General features: G+C 48.6%; 2 long non-coding RNA genes and 1 pseudogene across 3 annotated transcripts in view, besides 1 other annotated feature; 2 read left to right on the top strand and 1 right to left on the bottom strand.

Annotated features, from left to right (window-relative positions):
• ARHGEF35-AS1 (ARHGEF35 antisense RNA 1) overlaps nt 1-15616 on the bottom strand; it is a 104269-nt gene that overhangs the window by 10389 nt on the left and 78264 nt on the right. The window contains exon 3 of the long non-coding RNA NR_126022.1: nt 8654-8729. This is a non-coding gene — a long non-coding RNA (ARHGEF35 antisense RNA 1). The remainder of the gene's footprint in view (nt 1-8653; nt 8730-15616) is intronic.
• OR2A1-AS1 (OR2A1 antisense RNA 1) overlaps nt 1-15616 on the top strand; it is a 117146-nt gene that overhangs the window by 66518 nt on the left and 35012 nt on the right. The gene's annotated exons all lie outside the window — the stretch shown is intronic.
• The window catches only part of ARHGEF34P (Rho guanine nucleotide exchange factor 34, pseudogene), a 27008-nt pseudogene continuing 14589 nt past the window's right edge, over nt 3198-15616 (top strand). The window contains exons 1-11 of the transcript NR_033942.1: nt 3198-5388; nt 5920-5977; nt 6411-6475; nt 6667-6920; nt 10727-10886; nt 11442-11594; nt 11864-11993; nt 12248-12322; nt 12760-12849; nt 14298-14455; nt 15080-15241. The product of NR_033942.1 is annotated as a Rho guanine nucleotide exchange factor 34, pseudogene (transcript). The remainder of the gene's footprint in view (nt 5389-5919; nt 5978-6410; nt 6476-6666; nt 6921-10726; nt 10887-11441; nt 11595-11863; nt 11994-12247; nt 12323-12759; nt 12850-14297; nt 14456-15079; nt 15242-15616) is intronic.
• Nucleotides 4043-4926: an enhancer, noted in NCBI's record as "H3K27ac-H3K4me1 hESC enhancer chr7:143981368-143982251 (GRCh37/hg19 assembly coordinates)". NCBI's record gives its function as "activates a minimal SCP1, AML or CMV promoter by ChIP-STARR-seq in naive H9 embryonic stem cells {active_cell/tissue: H9 hESC(naive)}" and the evidence as "EXISTENCE:reporter gene assay evidence [ECO:0000049][PMID:30033119]".

Below are 15616 nucleotides of genomic sequence, written 5' to 3'. Positions count from 1 at the left end.
GAATAATGGTACCCATCTTATACGATGACTCTTAGATGTATGGCACATACATATTTAAAGAAGCATTTCATTATTTTTAATGACATGTATGCAGGAAAACCTTAGTGTTTCAGAATGAAAAATAAGAAAAATTAATTTGTTGTGTATAGAGCTCTAAATGTTTAAAGTTCTGTGTAAACTGTTAATCATGATTTTGGGAAAAGGTGGGCATATTCCATTGAAGTAAAAGGATCACATTTTATTCTGACCTGAATTTTATTCTTTATGTGAAAAATATTTATTAAACACTGAGTATAGGCCACTATTAGGCTAAGTATGGATAATTCAGCAAGTCATAGTTCTTAATCTCATAAATTTTACTATCTATTGGTTGCAATAGAGGGTAACTCAAAATACACACATCATTATATAATTATAATTGTATAAATGCTACAAAGGAAAAGTAAAGTGAATTATAGTTGGTAAGTGCTACAAAGAGGGGTACAATTTAACCTAGTTAAAAGATCAGGGGAGGCCAGGTGCAGTGGCTTACGCCTATAATCACAACACTTCGGGAGGCCGAGGCGGGTGGATAACGAGGTCAGGAGATTGAGACCATCCTGGCCAAAATGGTGAAACCCCGTCTCTACTAAAAGTACAAAAATTAGCTGGGTGTGGTGGCACACACCTATAGTCCCAGCTACTCGGGAGGCTGAGGCAGGAGAATCTCTTGAACCCGGAGGTGGAGGTTGCAATGACCCAAGATTGCACCACGGCACTCCAGCCTGGGTGACAGAGCAAGACTCCATCTCAAAAAAAAAAAAAAAAAAAAGAAAAAAAAAAAAAGACTGGAGGAAACTGAAGGGGTAAAACCAGGAAAATGTAATACCACAAGTAACAAGAGAGTATTTCTAACCTCAGTACTGTCAAATACTGACAAGAACCACCCAAAATGAAGATCCATAAGGTCTTCTTTGGAATTAACAACATGTCGATTGTAGGGAATATTGGCAGAATGCCGCTATCAAAGCTCAGTTGGAGGCAGGTGGGATGTGAGAGTATGAAGACAGCAGATAAGAGCAACTCCTTCTAGTCATTTGAAAGATGAGAAGAATGTGGGAATGCTTCCATACCCCAGGGGTTGTTCAGCAGGGATGTTGAAGGTATGAGTGCACAGTGTTCCTGGGGAAGCAGGCAAGAAATGACAGAGCATGGAAAGGAGGGATACGTCTTTTCCTGACTGAGGGCGGAAGATAGAAAGAGTGGAAATACAGGTTGCTTTGGATCACAAGAAATTGAGGTGAGAGAAACCCAGTTCCATCAGTTTCTATTTTCTTTGCAAAATAGGAGATGAGGTGTTCTGCTGGAAGTGAGAAGAAAGGCAGGAAGGTCGAAATCAAAAGACAGGAAGGTCAAAAGAATTAATGAGAAGAGTTCATATGGATACTGAGGCCAAGGGGAGAGTAAGGTGATGCAGAAAGCACCCTTCTGTGGTCTTCCTTCAAGGTGGTAATGTGTCTAGTTCAACACTAATCCAATAAGGCTGTTATCATCCCACTTTACAACAGCTGCCTCTAGAATTGGAAACAAAACTGTTAGTTACAATGCTGTAGTAGACACTATGGAAAACAGAAAGATGAGTAAACTCCAAACCCTCTGTAAAGAAGATGAAACCATAGCACCTCACACATTGGCTATCATAGCCTGGCCTATTTTAACTGATGTCCACAGCTTAAGAGGAAGACCCTCTCCTGACACTGCTTCTCTGGCCTAATAGATCTGAGGTGTGTCCCTTGCTGTGTCTGGGGGTTATATGAGGATGAGTCACTCCTAGTGTCCGAAGAGTAGACAGGGAGAGACAGAAGATGACATAATGGAGTCTAGAGAGAACTGACAACTGGGAGCTTCTGGGCACTCTCTGACAATGGTCCTCTGCTATAATTTAATTGTTCATTATGACCTGTTTCCCTCACAAGACCACAGTCTCCATGACGACAAGATCTTTATCTCATTCACTACTGAATGCCCCACACTTAACAGGGTCGCTAGGAAAATATTTATGAAATAAATACATCAATGACAAGTTTTTTAGAGGCTATTGCTTATTTTGTTGAGAACCTGTTGTCTCAAAGAATGACCCTAAATGGAACCAAATAAATGCATCACTCTTCTTTTTTATGGTCTCTTCCTCTGATAGGTAAAAGCAGAGTTGTTAGAAACATTTGTCTTTGATTCCTCCTTAGGATTCAGCCCTGATGGAGGCTGAGGAGGCCCAGCGTGGAGCCTCTCCTCCCATCTCTGCCATAGAGGAATTCAGCATTATCCCTAAGGCTCCCATGAGGAGCAGCCAGGTCTCTGCCTTGGGGCTTGAAGCTCAAGAAGATGAGGACCCATCCTATAAGTGGAGAGAGGAACACAGACTCTCAGCAACTCAGCAGAGTGAGTTAAGGGATGTGTGTGACTATGCGATTGAGACGATGCCCTCTTTTCCCAAGGAAGGTTCTGCAGATGTGGAGCCCAATCAGGAAAGCCTTGTGGCTGAGGCCTGTGACACTCCGGAACACTGGGAGGCAGTACCCCAGAGCCTAGCAGGCCGACAAGCAAGGACTCTAGCTCCCCCAGAGCTCTGGGCCTGCCCCATTCAGAGTGAGCATCTAGACATGGCCCCATTTTCCAGTGACCTGGGAGGCGAAGAAGAGGAGGTGGAATTTTGGCCAGGACTTACTTCTTTGACATTGGGATCTGGACAGGCAGAAGAAGAAGAGGAAACCTCTTCAGATAACTCTGGTCAGACCAGATATTATTCTCCCTGCGAAGAGCATCCTGCAGAGACCAACCAGAATGAAGGCGCTGAAAGTGGGACTATCAGGCAGGGGGAAGAGCTGCCATCTGAGGAGCTGCAGGAAAGTCAAGGGCTCTTGCATCCCCAGGAGGTCCAAGTTCTGGAGGAGCAGGGACAGCAGGAAGCAGGATTTCGGGGGGAAGGAACTCTGAGGGAGGATGTTTGTGCCGATGGGCTATTAGGGGAGGAACAGATGATAGAGCAGGTTAATGATGAAAAAGGAGAACAGAAGCAAAAACAGGAACAGGTACAAGATGTGATGCTTGGGAGACAAGGAGAAAGAATGGGGCTCACTGGGGAGCCAGAGGGTCTGAATGACGGTGAGTGGGAGCAGGAGGATATGGAGAGGAAGGCTCAGGGTCAGGGAGGTCCAGAACAGGGAGAAGAGAGGAAGAGGGAGCTGCAGGTGCCAGAAGAGAACAGGGCGGACTCTCAGGACGAAAAGAGTCAAACCTTTTTGGGAAAATCAGAGGAAGTAACTGGAAAGCAAGAAGATCATGGTATAAAGGAGAAAGGGGTGCCAGTCAGCGGGCAGGAGGCGAAAGAGCCAGAGAGTTGGGATGGGGGCAGGCTGGGGGCAGTGGGAAGAGCGAGGAGCAGGGAAGAGGAGAATGAGCATCATGGGCCTTCAATGCCCGCTCTGATAGCCCCTGAGGACTCTCCTCACTGTGACCTGTTTCCAGGTGCCTCATATCTCGTGACTCAGATTCCCGGGACTCAGACAGAGTCCAGGGCTGAGGAACTGTCCCCCGCAGCTCTGTCTCCCTCGCTAGAGCCCATCAGGTGCTCTCACCAGCCCATTTCTCTACTGGGCTCCTTTTTGACTGAGGAGTCACCTGACAAGGAAATAGATCAAAACAGCCAGCAAGAGGGATCCAGGCTGAGGAAGGGAACAGTGTCCAGCCAAGGGACTGAGGTGGTCTTTGCCAGTGCATCTGTGACTCCTCCAAGGACACCAGATTCAGCTCCTCCCAGTCCTGCTGAAGCCTACCCCATCACACCTGCCTCGGTATCTGCCAGGCCCCCAGTTGCCTTTCCCAGGAGGGAAACCTCTTGTGCTGCACGTGCTCCAGAAACTGCCAGTGCCCCTCTCTCAATGGATGACCCATCTCCCTGTGGGACTTCTGAGATGTGCCCGGCTGCCCTCTATGGCTTCCCCTCCACCGGGACCAGCCCTCCGAGGCCCCCAGCCAACTCCACAGGCACCGTCCAGCACTTACGGAGTGACTCCTTCCCTGGTTCTCACAGGACAGAGCAGACTCCAGACCTGGTGGGAATGTTGCTTTCCTACTCCCACTCAGAGCTGCCCCAGAGGCCCCCCAAACCTGCCATCTACAGCTCTGTGACCCCAAGAAGGGACAGAAGGAGTGGTAGGGACTACAGCACCGTTTCAGCATCCCCTACTGCCTTATCCACGCTGAAGCAGGACTCTCAAGAATCCATCTCAAATCTAGAGAGACCCAGCAGTCCTCCCAGCATCCAGCCCTGGGTCTCCCCACATAATCCAGCCTTTGCCACAGAGTCTCCCGCCTACGGTTCTTCCCCATCCTTTGTCTCCATGGAGGATGTGAGGATCCACGAACCTCTGCCCCCTCCTCCCCCACAGAGGAGGGACACCCATCCCTCCGTGGTGGAGACAGATGGCCATGCTCGTGTAGTGGTTCCCACGCTGAAGCAGCATAGCCACCCTCCTCCATTGGCCCTAGGTTCAGGGCTGCATGCCCCCCATAAAGGCCCACTTCCCCAAGCCTCTGACCCCGCTGTGGCCAGGCAGCACCGACCTCTGCCATCTACCCCAGACAGCTCCCACCATGCTCAGGCCACCCCCAGGTGGAGATACAACAAGCCGCTACCCCCTACCCCTGATTTGCCGCAGCCCCACCTTCCTCCCATTTCTGCTCCTGGTAGCTCAAGGATCTACAGGCCTCTACCCCCACTACCCATCATAGACCCTCCCACCGAACCACCCCCATTGCCCCCAAAGTCCAGGGGGAGGAGCAGGAGCACTTGGGGAGGACATATGAACTCAGGGGGTCATGCCAAAACAAGACCTGCTTGTCAAGACTGGACAGTCCCCCTCCCTGCCTCTGCTGGACGCACCTCCTGGCCCCCGGCCACAGCTAGATCAACAGAGTCTTTCACTTCCACCAGCAGGAGTAAGAGCGAAGTGTCCCCTGGCATGGCTTTCAGCAACATGACAAACTTCCTATGCCCCTCTTCCCCTACCACTCCCTGGACTCCGGAGCTCCAGGGACCCACCTCTAAGGATGAAGCAGGGGTCTCAGAACACCCTGAGGCCCCTGCGAGAGAACCTTTGAGAAGGACAACCCCTCAGCAAGGAGCCAGTGGCCCAGGGAGGTCACCTGTGGGCCAAGCAAGGCAGCCAGAAAAACCCAGCCATCTGCACCTGGAGAAGGCGTCCAGCTGGCCCCACAGGCGGGACTCAGGGAGGCCACCAGGGGACAGCAGTGGACAGGCTGTGGCTCCTAGTGAGGGGGCCAACAAGCACAAGGGCTGGAGCCGGCAGGGCCTGCGCAGACCTTCCATCTTGCCTGAGGGCTCTTCAGGTGAGCAAGAACCGGGACCACAGTGACACATCAGACCAAGCTTTTCCCAGCTCTTCCCACCTCATCCCATCTTCTGTCCCTAGGGTTCCTAACATTCTCTCTGCTGGCTTCGCTCACATGTGTGCCTAACCTCAACACAGAGAGAGCCCCGAAGTGCCCTCCAAGCTCCTTGGGATGCTCTTCCTTCTTCTTCCCCTCTATCTCCCTGTCTCTCCCTCAACCAGCACCTTCTTTGGATGTCCCAAGGTTATTTTGGACTCCCTTCTACTCTTCAGTTACAGTCCCTGCTTGCTCTCCTCCTGGGGAGTAGAAAAGGCCTTCTGTACTTGTCCCAGTCCCATCCTGACCCGTGGCTCGGGACGTCACTGGTACTGATCTCTTTCACGCTCTCTGCTTTGCCACTTTCTTCCCTCCCAGTTTCCCAATAAAGCCCATTTTCCCTTCTGGACCCCTACATCTCCTGCTCTAGATCTTCTTTGGCTCTCTCTATCCCTCTGAAATCTCAGTTATCTTCCCCATTTCCACTTTTAGATTCAAGAGGTCCAGCCGTGGAGAAACATCCGGGACCCTCAGACACTGTTGTTTTTCGGTAAGTCACCCTCTCCCCTAACAGCCACACTGTACTCTCTTCACTTGGGATACTGAGAGTCCCCTAGTGAGGATTTCAGTTGATAAGGGTTCTGAGACCCCGAATGGCTCATTCCTGTTTCTTCTTGGTGTAAGGAGGAGAAGAGAGAGATGCCGGGATGCCAGCTTAGGGAGATTGTCTTTATCTACCTCATTCGGTCAGCCGAGCCTACGAGTCATCCATCTTCCCAAGCCCTATGGCTGTGAACTAAACCCCACAAAAGCTCCATGTTAGCCCAAGTGGGTCAAGTTGCAACTCTGTGCCTCTCCGGGGGATTTGGTCTTGACATCCCAGCACACATCCCAGAGGCTAGAGACTTTGTCCCCCACAGTCACCTGGGGTGCTCTGTGTCTAATGGCCAGTAGGTACCCCAGAGCCCTTCTTTACTCCACAGGGAGAAAAAACCAAAGGAGGTGATGGGAGGCTTTTCAAGACGCTGCTCCAAACTCATCAACTCCTGTGAGTACCTTGAAGTGGAACTATAGACCCAGGTGGGCATTCTGCCCAGCACTGGAGAGGGGCTTGTGGATGTCAGCAGTGGGGTGGGGATGTCCCTAGCGAGAAGGCATTGCAGAAGATCTGTTTCCCTGCCTCCGCTCACCGTCCCTTCTTCCTGCTTCTCTTCCTTCCCATGCTTCTTTGCCCTGCAGCCCAGCTGCTTTACCAGGAGTATAGTGATGTTGTCCTGAATAAGGAGATCCAGAGCCAGCAGCGGCTGGAGAGCCTGTCCGAGACACCCGGGCCTAGCTCTCCGCGGCAGCCTCGGAAGGCCCTGGTCTCCTCCGAGTCGTACCTGCAGCGGCTCTCCATGGCCTCCAGCGGCTCCCTCTGGCAGGAAATCCCCGTGGTGCGCAACAGCACCGTGCTGCTCTCCATGACCCATGAAGACCAAAAGCTGCAAGAGGTACTGGGCAGGCCACGGTGGGGAGGGGGCTACAGAAAAGATGACAAGGTCTTGTTTGCTAGCATCCTTCTCTCCTGCTCACCACTGCCACCAAGAGTCGGCTGTCCCCACCACACAGGCGCGTGTACATGCCACAGCTGTGGGTCATGTCCATTCTGAAGAAGTTGAATTGTTTTCTGGATTTCACCACCTCCCCTTTCATCCTCACCTCCTCATGCCATAGGCCACTTGCTCCTACCTGATGTTGGTCTGGGCTATACATGGTGGCCATTGCCTCTGAATTTGTGTGGAGGAATGTGGAGTTAATCCCATCATCACTGCTGTTTCAGGGTAGAGGAAAGCTTCCCTGTTCAACCAGGGTTTCAGGCTACACTACAGTTTTCCTCTTTAGCCAAGGCACATTCCGGGGCTCTTTGTTGGGTCCCTTGAAGAGGGCCCTTTGCAGCTGTCCTGTGGTCCATCAATCTAACAGGGGCCTTAGAGTGATCATCAGTCCCTGCTTGATTGTTACTCCCAACAGCAAGACTGAACTAGAGGCTGTTTGTCTGATTCTAAGCTATTACCATTAGTAAGTTTTACATGGAGAGCGCCTCTTATTAATTTGTCTGAAATATGGGGTAAAACCTTTCTTCCCAGAAAGACAGTATGGAACAATGGAATAGAATAATGTTTAAGAAATTAGGTTCTGGAAGAAATGACCTGGATATGAAAACCACTTTTTTTTTAAATTATTAATTTATTAGAGACAGGGTCTTGCTCTGTCACTCAGGCTGGAGTACAGTGGTACAATCATTGTTCACTGCAGCCTCAACCTCCTGGGCTCGAGCAATCCTCCCGCCTCAGCCTCCCAAGTAGCTAGGACTACAGGTATGTGCCACTATGCCTAGCTAATTTTTTAATTTTTTGAAAAGATGGTGTCTCACTATGTTGCCCAGTTGTCTCGAGCTCCTGGGCTGAAGCAATACTCCCGCCTCGGCCTCCCAAAGTGCTGGAATTACAGGCATGAGCCACTGAGCCCAGCCCCAGAGCCCACTTTAATATTTCCAATTTACCTTTGGCCAAATGACATTTGTAAAACTGAGATACAAACAGTTACTGCAAGGATCAAGAAACATGAATGCCTGGTACATAGTAATTTCTCAAAAAATGTTGACTTTTCATTTTAAGTAAGCCAGACCTAGGTTTGAAACATGACTTCACCATTTGCTAGCTTAGGCAGCCTTATAACATCACTAAATCTCAGTTTCCTCACTTGCAAATTGAGGATAATAATGCCTACCTTTCAGGGTTGCTGAATGGTTTAAATGAAATAATGCATATCTAATTTAGCAGTAATATTTGATGTATAGTTTGATAAATATTAGTGCCATACTCTCTGCCTTTCAGAGGCAGGGAGGAGTAAAATTTGGGCCAGGAGGACTTATGGATAGACAATGCTTTTACCAAGTCAGAGAGAGAATACATTTTTAGACTTTGCAAAGTTCAGACTTGAGAGCCCTGTTGTGGCTGCAAATTTTTAAGCACAGAGAAGATATTTAGAAAATAACTCATCTTCCCCATATTTGTTGACCAAACAGTGGGAGATGACACGAGTTCTAGCTCTCTTTTACCAACTCCAGCATGCTGGGAAGTCCAGCAGGACTCCTATTCCAGCCCTGGTCTCATGTTTGTGAGAAGAAAGGGCTTTACATTTCTATCTCTTAAACACACATATTCATTTTATAAAGTAGTACCTCTGGGGTTCACAAAGTGCTTTCACAGGCTCCATTTCTTTCAACTGTTGCATCTTCCACAGTGAGATGGGGGTCACTATATCCACATAAAAGGACACGAAAAGTGAGATTCAGAGAGGTTAAATGAGCCACCCAAAGTCAGTCGTGTAGTGAATGTTAGAGCAAGGATGCAAATGAGCCTTCAGTGTCCCTGTTCAGGGTTGTTGTATGGGAGGGTCATCTGGCTGTGTCATTGGTCATCCAAGTCATCACCAGGGTGTGTCTCCTTTCTCTTTTCTATCCAGGCATCTCTCTTGAGGCCACATGCTTGGATGAAAAGCATGAGGAGCCCAGCTAGAGGCACGGTCATGAGTCATAGCGCCCCCTGCTGGAACCTCCAGACAAGTTCTCACATGCTGGGCATGCATTAAACCACAGCTGCGCCATCTTGTTCTCAGATATCCTGCTTCTGTCTCCTGCTTCTCGCGCCATCTTGTTCTCAGATATCCTGCTTCTGTCTCCTGCTTCTCATCTGTCCTCAAACCTCAAACTGAGCTCATCACCTTCATCCCCTAAATCTATGCCTTTTCAAAGTTCTCTGGCTCAGTAAATGACTCCATCATTCACCCAGGTGCCCGACTCAAAAAGCTTTTGCTGTGAGTACAAAACATTAGCTTTGAACCTTCCTTCTCTTTGAGGCCCCATTTCTAGCAAATAATCCAACCCTTCCAATTCTACCTCATAAATAATTATAAAATTAATCTACTTCTCTTCAGCTCCATGGCTATTCAGACCTTCATCTCTCATGTGGAATTATTACAACAGTTTCTTAACATGGATGGCTTTTGCTTCTTTTCATCTTTTCTTCTCATTCTGCTTAGAAATAACTTTATGAAAAACAGGCTGGGCGCAGCGGCTCACACCTGTAATCCCAGCACTTTGGGAAGCCGAGGCGGGTGGATCAACTGAGGTCAGGAGCTTGAGAACAGCCTGGCCAGTATGGTGAAACCCTGTCTCTACTAAAAATACAAAAATTAGCTGGGCGTGGTGGTGCATGCCTGTCATCCCAGCTACTCAGGAGGCTGAGGCAGGAAAATGGCTTGAACCTGGGATGCGGAGGTTGCAGTGGGCTGAGATCGTGCCACTGCACTCCAGCCTGGGTGACAGAGCAAGACTCCATCTCAATTCCAAAAAATAAAAAAAAATAACTTTATATAAAACAAATGTGGTCAAGTTATTCTCCTATGTAAAGCCTGTTTTCATTGTCCCATTGTCTTAAGTCCAAACAGTTTTACATTGTTTACATTACCCTTCAGGCCTCCTCGACTGCTGCAGCTTCATCTCTGGCCACTACTGCTGTACACTTGGTTCAAAAAATGCTCAATTTATTTAGTTTAGTTAGTTTGTTTGTTTGTTTTGAGATGGGGTTTCACTCTGTCACCAGGCTGAAGTGCAGTGGTGCAATCTGGGATCACTGCAACCTCACCTCCCAGGCACAAGCAATCCTTCCGCCTCAGCCTCTCAAATAGCTGGGACTACATGTGCACGCCATCACATCCGGCTAATTTTTGTATTTTTTGTAGAGACAGGGTCTCTGTACGTTGCCCAGCCTGGTCCTGAACTCCCAGACTCAAGTGATGCACCCACCTCAGCCTCCCAAAGTGTTGGGATTACAGGCGTGAGCCACTGCACCCAGTCTATTTAGCTTTTTTAATATAAATTTCATTGTGTATATTAAAGATATACAACATGATGTTATGGGCTACATATAAATAGTAACAGAATTACCCTAGTGAAGCAAATTAACATATCCATCTCACTTTGTTACTCATTTTTTGTTCTTGTTTTTGTTATTTAGATTTCTTGAAAGCATATTTTTCTTTTATACCTTTGAAGGCCTGTACCTGTACCCTAGATTAAATCCTACTCAAATGCTCTTCCCCTCCCCGCAGATCAACTTAGGTTCTGGTGTGACTGTGAACCATAAAAGGATCTTGCTCACTGCTCTATCCCCAAAACATTACACAGTGGCTGGCATATTCCAGGGGGTAAATAAAATCCTTAATTAATCTTCCTCATCTCCAACCTCCTAAGTCAAATTTGAGCTGATTGTGTCAGAGGCCTCCTACCTGCGCAGTCTAAACATAGCTGTGGATCATTTCCAACTTTCAACTTCACTCCGGGCCACACTTTCCAACCAGGAGCACCAATGGCTCTTCTCTCGTTTACAGGATGTGCGAGACGTCAGCGCCACGTGAGACTCCCCTTCTCCTAAATACCACTCACTCAGCCTCACTGTTGTTAGGCTTTAAATGTTCCGTTATTTTTTTCCCCTCTTAGAAACCCTTTCATTTTCACAGTTATGGGAAGAAATTGGGCCTCAGTTTCTTCCATGATTCCCGATGGTTATAGGAAGAAGAATGGCAAGAAGAGGAGAGGGTCTGTGGGTGGATAGATCCATTAATGGATAAGTAAATGAGCAATGCTTCCTGGGTTGAGGTTTTGGATTACTGTGGTCATGCACTGCATTGGAGATGAGGTGGAAAAACCATCTAAAGATCAGAAAACCTGAACAGGGTCAAAAGAAGAATGAGAAATGGAATATTAGAATAAAAGTGTTAAATCAGGCTCAAACTCAGGACAGTTTTGGAGCGAATTCTAGTGCATAGCAAGGAGCACAGAGCAGAGAGTCAATAGAAGTTATTGGCTAATGGAGTGAAGAAGTCACCAGCTCAGTGTACACCAGGGGCCAGTCAGCTGTTTAGCTGAGGTCCAGAAGTCTCATGAGACTCGTTTAAATCCTGTACAGGTTCCTTTCAGACCTGGAAGAGAACTTTGAGAACAATATCTTCTCCTTCCAAGTATGTGACGTAGTCCTGAACCACGCCCCAGACTTCCGCCGGGTCTACCTGCCTTATGTCACCAACCAGACCTATCAGGAACGCACCTTCCAGAGCCTGATGTGAGACTCATCCCCCATTTAATCCCCATGTAGGCCCTGAGGTGACCATGCACCAGTCCCCAGCCCAGAGGGCTATCCCAAGAGCACACTTTCCCCATTCCGCCCTCTGTATTGGTTACCCCAGCATCACATCTGAGCGCCCTGTACATCAGCTCCCACCGCTCTTTCCCAGCCCACAGATACTCCACTGACCTCCCTTCCCCGCACCTTCACTGCATCCCCCATTGCTCCCCATATCCCCCCTCCCCTAAGGCTCACTCTCCGTGCAGGAATAGCAACAGCAATTTCCGGGAGGTCTTGGAGAAGCTGGAGAGCGACCCCGTCTGCCAGCGCCTTTCCCTCAAGTCCTTTCTGATTCTGCCCTTCCAACGCATCACCCGCCTCAAACTGCTGCTCCAGGTAGGGCAGATGCTACCTTGATCCTCTCCCCTTAACTCAAAGGGATGCCCTCAGGAAGACCCACAACAAAGGACCAACCATTCTTCTGCCAGGTGTCCACATCCTGTCTCCCTGCTGCCCACTGCCTGCTTGCTTGGAAATATTTGCTGCTAAAATGTGGTCCCTGAGCTTCTCCATTCACCAGCCCCCAATCATTTCTTCCTGTTTCCCATTTCTTCCTCCCATCTCACTCCTGCCTACTGTCTGTTCAATAGAACATTCTGAAGAGAACACAGCCTGGCTCCTCGGAGGAGGCAGAGGCCACGAAGGCACACCACGCCCTGGAGCAGGTAGGCAGCCACCACCTCCACTCTGACCCTCTGTGTGTTCTTCTCAGAGAGGTCTTTCCCACCTAGGCCCATGACTCCAGGGAGCATGGGAGGTGGGACCCTGTTGGGAGAGCTCAGCCACCTCCCTGCATCCGCCAAACTTCCAAACATACACACCCCACGGCCACCTCTCCCACGCCGAGCACACTCCACATCAAGGGACTGTGCCCTCTCCACCATCACCCCCACATTCAGTCTCACTTTTACTCAGTTCAGGAATGTTCTCCCAAGTCATACAAAGTTGCCTAGGACTTGTGCTTGATACTGCCTGCCCAATTCCAGCCTGGGAAAAATGACTGAGGCTGTCATAACCTATTTCCAGATTGCTTGCAAGGGACTCAAAGGTCAAAGCCTCTAACACAGTGCCCTTCCCCTTTCCTCACTCTCTGCACCCCTAGCTGATCCGGGACTGCAATAACAATGTCCAGAGTATGCGACGGACAGAGGAGCTAATCTACCTGAGCCAGAAGATTGAGTTTGAGTGCAAAGTGAGTCGGTCCCATGCACCCCATCCCTGCCCATGAACTCCCTTAACATGTCCTGCAGATCACCCCCTAACCTGGAACCACCTTGCTCACATTATCCCCAGCCCCTCCCCTCATTTCTGCCCACCTTCTATTCTGTCCTATTTCTGGGAGGCCTACTTGGGTCTCCAAGACATACTGCTAAGTGAAAAGATGAAGGTAAAGAATTGTGTGTATATTATATCACCTTTGGTATAAAAGTGGGAGGATACAAATCTATACAGGTGTCTGCTTGTGTGTGCATAAGGAAACTCTGGAAGGAGAACAAGAAAAAAAGGAACAGTGGTTACCTGAGGACAAGGGGGGTGCATTTGAGAAATGGGCAAATGAGAGAGAACTTTTCAGGATGAGCCTTTATAAAAGAATGTTTTGGTGCTTGATTCATTTATTACTTTATCAAATCTCTTTCTAGTCTAATCAAACCCACATAAGATTGGATCCAAATTTAGAGCCAGCATCCCTCATTGAAATACAAATCTAAAATAGACATTCCACATTCAAATTCCAACTTAGAACAGATACTATCTTTTTTTTTTTTTTTGACAGAGTCTCACTCTGTCGCCCCAGGCTAGAGTGCAGTGGTGCGATCTTGGCTCACTGCAACCTCCACCTCCCAGGTTCAAGCGATTCTCATGCCTTGGCCTCCCGAGTAGCTGGGATTCCAGGTCTGCACCACCATGTCTGGCTAATTTTAGTATTTTTAGTAGAGATGGGGTTTCACCATGTTGGCCAAGCTGATCTCCAACTCGTAGCCTCAAGTGATCCACCCACCTCTGCCTTCCAAAGTGCTGTGATTATAGGCGTGAGCCACCACGCCCGTGCTTAGAACACATACTATCTTTACACTCCTGAAAAAGAAGGAAAATCCCTTATTCACATACTAAGCATAGACCACACCCTCATCTTTAACCAAATTCCAGCTCCAAGACGCCCCACCTAGTTCTTCTCACCCCCATGTTTGATTCCAGCTGCTCACATATCTCTGGTATAAAAAATGGAATTGATACCAGACCTGCCTCTAATATTTTATTTTAACCTCTAAGACACATATAGTGTTCACTGACTTGTTCCATCACATACCCTGATTGGACTCTTCCATCCCTCCTTCAGTTCAGGCTTCTAGGGCAGAGCTGTCCCACACACTCACTATCCTGAGTTGGACCATAGGCATCTTCTATTTACCTGAGCATACAACCATGGGAGCCACACACCAGTGGACAGTGGTAGTTAGAGGGTTCAGAGAGAAAGAGAATCTAAGTGATGGGTTATGAGCCAGAAGGCAGATGTGGAAGAGATGCTTGTTTAAGTGGAACTTGCATGGAAGTGGCATGGGGAGGAGGGTGGGACTGGGAGCAAACCTCATGCTTCTCCCATCTGTGACACTGCCTTCTCTCTCTTCCTCTGCCCTGTAGATATTCCCGCTCATTTCTCAGTCACGCTGGCTGGTGAAAAGTGGGGAGCTGACAGCCTTGGAGTTCAGTGCTTCCCCAGGGCTACGAAGGAAGCTGAACACGCGTCCAGTCCACCTGCACCTCTTCAATGACTGTCTGCTGCTGTCTCGGCCCCGAGAGTCAGTGACTGGAGTGGCAGGCCAGGGCACAAGAGGGGAAGGGGATGAGGAAAGAGGGGGGTCTGAAAGGGAGAGAGAAGGGTCATGTTCCTAGAAGAGCCCTTCTCAATGGCTTAACCCATAGAGCCCAGGTCATAGCCTAGAGAAGAGAAAAACAAGCCCAAAGCAAAAAGGGGATCCCATCAAACTGTATCATGAGACCACATAGCAGGACATGTAATATGGTATAGACACAGAGCAAAATGTAGCAAATTAGCTTATCACATTCTCACATGAGTCTATTTGTGGCTTCTTTGGACTGGCCTCAACCTGCTATTCTAGAGATACTTAGCTAATTCCAGATCTTAAGTCTCTGGTCTTAAGGTTCTTGGGAAATGTATATAAATTCCATCTCTTCACCTCTTTAAAGTGGTAATGTATCCACTGCACTAGGTGTGTGGTTTGCCAGACTAGGACAAATCCCTGAGGACCCTGGAGCTACCATCTTGGGAGCAAGTTAGGACCATCTTATGGTTTTTGTGGGAATTTGCAGGCTGTAGATGTAGGGATTTCGAACCCAAGGTTATGAGGGTAGGTGAAGTATGGAAACTCTAGAATCAGGTTGAAAAGATTTGTATTTTGCAGGGGTAGCCGATTCCTGGTATTTGACCATGCTCCCTTCTCCTCCATTCGGGGGGAAAAGTGTGAAATGAAGCTACATGGACCTCACAAAAACCTGTTCCGACTCTTTCTGCGGCAGAACACTCAGGGCGCCCAGGCCGAGTTCCTCTTCCGCACGGAGACTCAGTGAGATGGGGCTGGGCAGAGGAGCTGGGGGTGGGGGAAGATGGGCAGCCGAGAAAAGAAGTGAGACCAAGGCAGAAAATGTGTCCAGAAGACAGCCACAGCCTCATTTAGCCCATTCTGGACTGGGGACCACCATAGAGAAATTCAAACTCCTAAAACTAATGGATAACTTGCAGGAGATTGGGGTGGGAGAGGGTACAAAGTCACCACCGAGGCTTAGCATCTATTTTATACTCTTTACTCAAGAAGGACAAGGTCTGTGTAGTATCAGAAAGGAGAAGGACTGGTATGGAGTGAGCAAGGAATTGGAATACTGGTATCTGTGAGCACATGCCTCCATGCCTGAGGCAGAAACCCTTCTATGCCCCAGCTGGT

Source organism: Homo sapiens, chromosome 7, assembly GCF_000001405.40.
Source record: "Homo sapiens chromosome 7, GRCh38.p14 Primary Assembly".
NCBI classification, from domain to species: Eukaryota; Metazoa; Chordata; class Mammalia; order Primates; family Hominidae; genus Homo; species Homo sapiens.
The sequence above is the reverse complement of the archived record's forward strand: the minus strand, read 5'-3'. Positions and strand labels throughout refer to the sequence as shown.